We start from the raw sequence: 6,895 nt of genomic DNA on the forward strand, positions 1-6,895 counted from the left end.
CTTCAGAATGTGACTGTATTTGGAAACAGAGCCTTTACAGAGGTCACTAAGTTAAAACCGGGTCACAAAGGTGGGCCCTAATCCAATACAACCGGTGTCCTTACAGGAGGAGGAGATTAAAACACAGGCAGGTCCAGAGGGAAGAGCAGGTGAGGACACCGCGAGAAAACAGCCATGTGCAAGCCCAGGAGAGAGGCCTCAGGAGGAACCAACTCAGCTGTCACCTTGACCTCAGACTTCCAGCCTCCAGAACTATAAGAAAACAAACTTCTGTTGTGTAGCCAGCCAGTCTGCGGGATACTGCGGGGAAGCCCGAGCTAACAGCATCCTCCACTCTGCAGGCAAAGGCTCCGGCAGGTCTGTGTGCTGAAGCCGTTCTGGCCTCAGCTCTCTGCCTGCATCTGCAGCTACCATCTCAGACCTGCCAACGGCACTGTAAGAATCCCACACCCAGGGCCAACCAGGACAAAGAGAAGGTCCATTCCCAGAAAGGGCCACCTGAGGTTGACATGCCAAAGGAAGGCAGGGGTGCTAACACTGCCCTGGTCCTCCGTTAGTTACAGGGTCCCCAGTCTCAGTACTGACTGAGGCAGGGGCACACTAACACACACATCAGCAACAAGGCACAGGTCAAGACCCTCCCACACTGTGTTCTAGCCCACCTTCAGAACAACAGCTACCAACTCCTGAGGCTCACGAGGAGTGCCCAGAGTGACCCAGGAGGCAGGCAGCATCACCCCCACCATATGGAAGGGCACAAGGAGACCAGTGAGGCCCAGAGGCATGTCCGCGAGGAGAGTGTGCGCAGCCCGGCTCTGCTGCAGCCCAGGTCCTCCCATCCCTACCCGACTCAGCCCGGTGTTCCCAGGCAGAGCCGAGCCAAGGAGGAGAGGGAGAGAGAGGACAGAGACGGGAGACTCTCTTTGGGAACCTTGGAATAAAGGTTCTAGTATCAGGCCTCTACCTACAGTGACACGCATTCACTGACCACCTTAATCAATACTGAACAGGCGACTCTCCTGCAAAGAAAGGCACTAGTGACTAGTGTCATGCATAGGGCTTACCTGTCAGGAGTTGGCTCTGTAGCACTGTCTGCTGGGGCGGCCACCCTGGCTTCACTGAGAGGACCCAGGTGAGGACCTGGCTGCCGGTCACTGGGCTGCTGGTCACTGAGCTACCAGTCACTGGGCCTGCAGCTGCTGCTTCCTGCTCAGCATTGTGGTCAGCGCCAAAGCTGGAAAGTCAAACGGGCCATCACTGAACTTCCGTAGAATTTATACAAATGAACTTATACTCTGAGCCCAGGAATAAAACTTTTAAAACAGACATGAAAGAATATTTTTTTCCAAGAAGATCATTTAAGAGTGTTCTGAAGAACAAAACAAGGACGTGACTAAGTAAGATGTAGGTTTCTAGTTGTCACATGATGCCCAGAGACAGAGGACAGAGGGAAGATGCACTGGGCTCTACGCTCACTGCCCACACATCTCTGCGTCTCCAAAGCACGCTGCCTCCAAGGCAGGCGGGGTACAAAGCACACAGACCTTTGCCCTCTTGCAAGGCAAAGTTACCTAGAATTCACTTCGGGCCCAGGTCAGGGTCCTCCCAGGCTACAACCTTCGGCCCACCCAGCAGGAACCTGCCTCCATGTCAGACCTGGCCCCAGCCCACAATGCCTGGTACTGTTCTCAGCAGAGATTCCGCTGGGCACTCTGCATGGAGCACATGTGTTCCACGAGAGGGGTGCAGAGCAGGCAGACCTGGGGTTCCAATTCTGGCTCTGATCTTTGATTCATCACTCAAGTCCTATGAACTGAGAGCTCAAGGCGCAGAGCCCTCAGTTCACAGGTGGGTTCTAGGCATGGAGAAGAGGGTGGAGACCAATTGAAACCCCTACCGGAGGAGACTTTATAGTGACCTGGGCAACTCACTGGTCTTCCCAGGCTCTGGTCCCACTGCAGAGCATGGGGATGAAACCCACCTCACTGAGGATTTTAATACACTGCATTGGAATGCCACTGGATTCCAACATGTTTAAATGAAATACACAGAGAATGGCTTAGCAGTGTGACTGGCATGCAGCAAGGGTGCCATCCAGGAGCCTCCTATCGCTGTTGGGCTGGAGGAGGTCCCCTGCCTGCAACGTGGGTGATCTCAACAGATCCCTCCATGGAAGAGTCAGAAGCTAAATTTTCCTAATTGTTAAACGGTGAAAATGAAACCTGCCCCTGCCTCTTACCTGACATCAAGAAGTCCTGGGCCCAGATATAAGAAGACCAGTCAAATGGCTGTTTTTTGAAACAGGTCCCGCTGAACATGCTTGCTAAAAATCCAGGCACCAGAGAGTCTTGGTTCATCTCCAGATGCCACCCCTTAGCGGCTGATGTCTGGGCAAATTATTGAGTCATTGGGGTTCAGTGTTCCCAGCTATAAAATCAGCATGAAAATAGTATCTCTCTCACGGAGCTTTTATTAGGATTAAATGAGCTAATGCATATAAAGGCTTAGGACAGGGTTCAACGTATAGCAAACGTTAAACAAATGTATACTCATCATTAACTACAACATGCCAAATAATTCTCCCATTTTCAGGTGTGAAACACACCAGCCACCTGCAAGCTATGAAGCTTGCTAATGTTTAAAGGGGATGCTGGTCTTTTTAGGACCAAAAGGGGAGATATGTGATACATGATTATGAGACTGATCAAAGTTGAACATCACCTGCCTATGCAAAAGCATTTTATTAAGGGTATCGCTTTAACCGTCTCAAAGAATTTGGAAGTTTGGAAAGTATCAAGATGATTATGTCGACTAGAATATTTCTAAGTTCTAGTAGCTTAAGTGACTAAAAGATAAGAAAAAAGGGTGCATGGGCAAACAAGTATGAGGGTCTGTGACATGGCAATGGGAACACTGGGAAATGGACTTACGGTCACCATCACAACAGCATACGAATCACTGCTAATTCTCATATCCTGATGTGTGTCCCATCTCTAGAGAGCCTAATCTTTTCCCCAATTCTGATTCAAATGCCCAGGACCACTTCCCAAGGCATCTTCAGGCATGTGGCTTCAAATGTAAGACATGTGCTTGAAAGGTTTGCTTTTTCTCATGGGCACGATAAATTAAATACATCACTGAGGTAAAGTGAAATATACTTGTCCTGTCAAACCCATCATCACTTCATCCATTTTTGTCTATTTTCTAGGAAGTTGATATTAGTCTTTACAGTTGACAAAACAAAGACAACATGCTCTTTGAACCTGATAAACTGAAGAGTTAGTAAGATACAATGCCTCCTCAATAACCTCAGTGTCCGCCCATCAACACACAGGGGAAAGCCTGCTGCAAACACAACCTCTCGGCTCTGTTTACAGTAGCCTCATCTGGCACCGACACCCAGACCACCAACACCCCGAGAGTAGACCAGCACACTTCACACGCTGACCCGGACCACTGGACAGAAGTTACAGAGTCTAAAGGGCTCACTCAGCTATTTCCCTATCAGTCAGGAGAGATTTCTTAGGCAGTTTCCAGTTAGATACGACTTAAACTTGAGATCTTAAAGAATATACTAACCTGGGGAAAAATAAATAATGTCTTAACTTACTTCCAAAATATCCCAGAAACAAAGGGCCTCTTGATTTCTGTTTAGTATCTTTGGTATCTTCCAAAAATTCCTGAGCTAATATAAAGTTTTCCTTCTGCCTAGTTTTCTCACACTAAATATTTAGAGTAATAACAGTGACTATTTAGACACTCAACAAATCCTAACTTTCATGACGAGGGTATTCAGCCTGTTCGGCCAGAGAGCTCTGGAGTGAAGTCTAGGCCTTCTCAGAAGGGGACAGAATACTTTTAGTTAAACAAAAAAATTAAACTCCATATTGTACTGATATCAGAGACTCAGAGATGACTGTGTTTTCCCAGAGTAAGAGGGTGCTTATGAAGACAAATTGAGAAATATGTAAATAGAATGGAATTAAAAGGAACATTTCTAAAAAGTAATTATAAAATTTCAGAATGTTATTGCCAGGACCTGTGGACAGCTTAAAGCTGAAACAACAACTATGAAATACAGGCCAGGCACAGTGGCTCACACCTGTAAACCCAACACTTTGGGAAGCCAAGGCTAGAAGACTGCTTGAGCTCAGGAGTTCAAGACCAGTTATGGCATATAGCGTGACCCTGTTTCTACAAATAAAAATCTTCTTTTAAAAATTAGCTGGGTGTGGTGGTGGGTGACTGTAGTCCCAGCTACTTAGGAGGCTTAGGTGGGAGGATCGCTTGAGCCCAGGAAGTCGAGGCTGCAGTGAGCTGAGATCACACCAATGCACTCCAGCCTGGGTGACAGAGTGAGACTCTGCCTCAAAAAAAAAAAAAAAAAGAAAAGAAATGCCAAACTTCACACCACTTTTATCAGGTGTATCTTCTGGCCTCTTCATTCAGTAATGCAAATCCAGCAGCCACAGCTCCTTTCCTGGTGAAGATGATAGAACAGGAGGCCCACAGAAGCGGGCAGCAGATGGAAGCGAAAACAGAAACCATCCCACCTCACTGCCAACATCATCTCTCAGCACCTATGGCGGATCGGTTCCAGGACACCAGAGACACCAAAATCCATCAGAGGATGCTCCAGTCCCTGGTATAAAATGGCGTAGTATTTGGATATGACCTACACACTTCCATTCACTTTAAAACATTTCTAGATTAATTACAATACCTGACATGATGTAAATGCTATATTGTTTATGCTGTATTGTTTTTATTTGAATTATTTTATTGTTTTATTGTTATATTTGATTGTTTATGGGGGGACTGAATATTTTTATCCATGGTTAGTTGAATCCAAGGATGTGGAACCCACAGACGCACAAGCTGTGGAATAGCAGAGCGGCTGTACTTTCAAATCACCAAACATACAGAAAGGCTCAGCAGCAACTCAGCTGCCAGGGACCCAGTCATCTGCCCAATCCCAGGAAGGCCCTTCTTCCCTCACTAACCTGTCCACCAGCAGACACCAGGAGAGGGCCACAGAGACAGTGAATGGCCAGGGGGCAGAGCGCGGACACCCCGGGAGCAGCTTCTGAACTGCCACCATCACTGAAACCAACAAAACTTAGCCAAAATGTGTAAACAGGCCCAGACTCCATCTAGGTCTCAATTTCAGGGTCAAGCAGGACCAACAGGCCCAATAATCCTCAGTGTGGGGCCTCCAGGAGCCACCAGCCGAGCAAGCACAAAGATGGGTTAGCCAGAGAGCGTGCTTCCCTCTACGGCCATGCAGACCAGAAGCACAGGGAGGTCAGAGGCTGCCTACCTGAAAGAGGCAGCACACAGCTCTAAAACTAGCCAAAGGCCAGCAGAGCGGTGAGAGGCAGGATAAATATACATGCACACATGCACAGAACAGCGACTGAGCAGAAAACCTACAGAAAAGACCACACTCACAATAGTTTATATACATAGGTATGCATATTTTAGGTTAGCCCTAAGAATAATCCTATACAAACCATAAAATATCATAGCACTTAGGAGATATAAAAAGACCTAAATGAATGGAAACACGCTAAGTTCCTAAATGGAAAGATTAAACATCATAAGGATTAATTCTCTTAAAAGTAATATAAATATCCAAAACAACTTTATAAATGAAATGTAGTATGTATCTATCTAAATTCAAGCAGTTTTTTTCTTAGAACTAGTGGAATAATCCTAAAACTAACAAAATAAAATAAGCGGTAAGATGGTCAATCATAGAGCATTAAGGGAGAATTACTCATCATCTAGTAAAATGCACCCTAAAGCAAAAGTAGTTAAAATAGTGTGTACTTGGCACAAAAATACATGCTACTGTTCATCCAGAAGAGTCAAATCTGCAAATACGAACATGAGTATTTTTATCATGGCACCATGTGCTATACAAGCTACACTGAAACAAGAGTGGGCACGTGTCTTCACTCCACAATCGAGCACACAGGATCCCTGGGACTAGAATCCCAGGGCTCACAGCCATTCCTGACTCTCCAGATGATGCCACCCAAGATGGTGGTGACAGCTATGATAACTGTACTCAGGGCAATGGCAGCCACCCTTGATTGACAACCTATTACCTGTCAGAATCTTACCAAATGCTTTACAATCTCTCATGGGAGGGCTTTTTGAAGATCAAATTGAAGGAAGTAAAGGCATGTGAGACACAAAACACAACATGCAAAGATAGGTGGGTTTTAATTAAGAACAACTAGATATCAATCCTTTGAGGCAGCACTGTTACCTCATTTTACAGATGCAGAAACCAAGGCTAGGAGACGGTAATTATATGCCAAGGCCACACAGTTAATCAATGGCAGAGCGAAGATGCAAGTCAACAGATACCTGGATGTATGAATCCCTGCCACACGGTTTGTGATTTTAATAAAATATCATTTCTACCATAAGGAAAAAAATAGAAAACTTTTACAATAATTGTAAAGTTTCTCTTCATTTTGATTCTTTCAATCACTTGCTGGAACAGATTTTATCATTTCCTTTTAGGGAAAAGAAAATCTACTAGAGTGAGCCTGAAATCCAAAGCATAGAAGATAACAGAATTTCTTTTAAAATCCCCTGCATGCCAGGAATGAAAGATTTTAGTGGTGAGGTATAAATAAGGAACCCCCTTAACCTGATAAAAAGCATCTATCCAAAACTTCCAGCAGGCAAGTGGCACAGGTAATGAAGAAGCAAAAATGACATCCCCATTAACATTAGGGCCGGAAAGCTCACAATGGCAGTATCAGATGTAACTGTTCTAGGGTTCTAGAAAACACAGTGAAGAAACAGAAACGAGGTGTAAATGTTAAATTGAAAAAGATTTTTAAGAACTGTCTGATATGGTTTGGTTCTGTGTCCC

At 45.3% G+C, this 6,895-nt stretch overlaps 1 protein-coding gene across 25 annotated transcripts in view; it reads right to left on the minus strand.

The window, feature by feature from the left end:
- The window catches only part of GRB10 (growth factor receptor bound protein 10), a 203,386-nt gene that overhangs the window by 164,755 nt on the left and 31,736 nt on the right, over positions 1-6,895 (minus strand). For 12 of the 25 annotated variants that reach the window (XM_047420252.1, NM_001001555.3, NM_001350815.2 and 9 more), the window contains one exon: positions 1,065-1,234. The exons of 8 other annotated variants lie outside the window; for them this stretch is intronic. Coding sequence is in view for 6 of the 17 variants with exons in the window: in NM_001350815.2 (NP_001337744.1) it covers positions 1,065-1,234 (170 nt within the window). In the remaining 11 variants the exon portion in view is untranslated. Of the gene's footprint in view, positions 1-1,064; positions 1,235-2,239; positions 6,879-6,895 lie in introns of those variants that run through there. 5 more of the 25 variants (XM_047420238.1, XM_047420232.1, XM_047420255.1 and 2 more) reach the window with 4 other exon arrangements.

Source organism: Homo sapiens, chromosome 7 (assembly GCF_000001405.40).
Source record: "Homo sapiens chromosome 7, GRCh38.p14 Primary Assembly".
NCBI classification, from domain to species: Eukaryota; Metazoa; Chordata; class Mammalia; order Primates; family Hominidae; genus Homo; species Homo sapiens.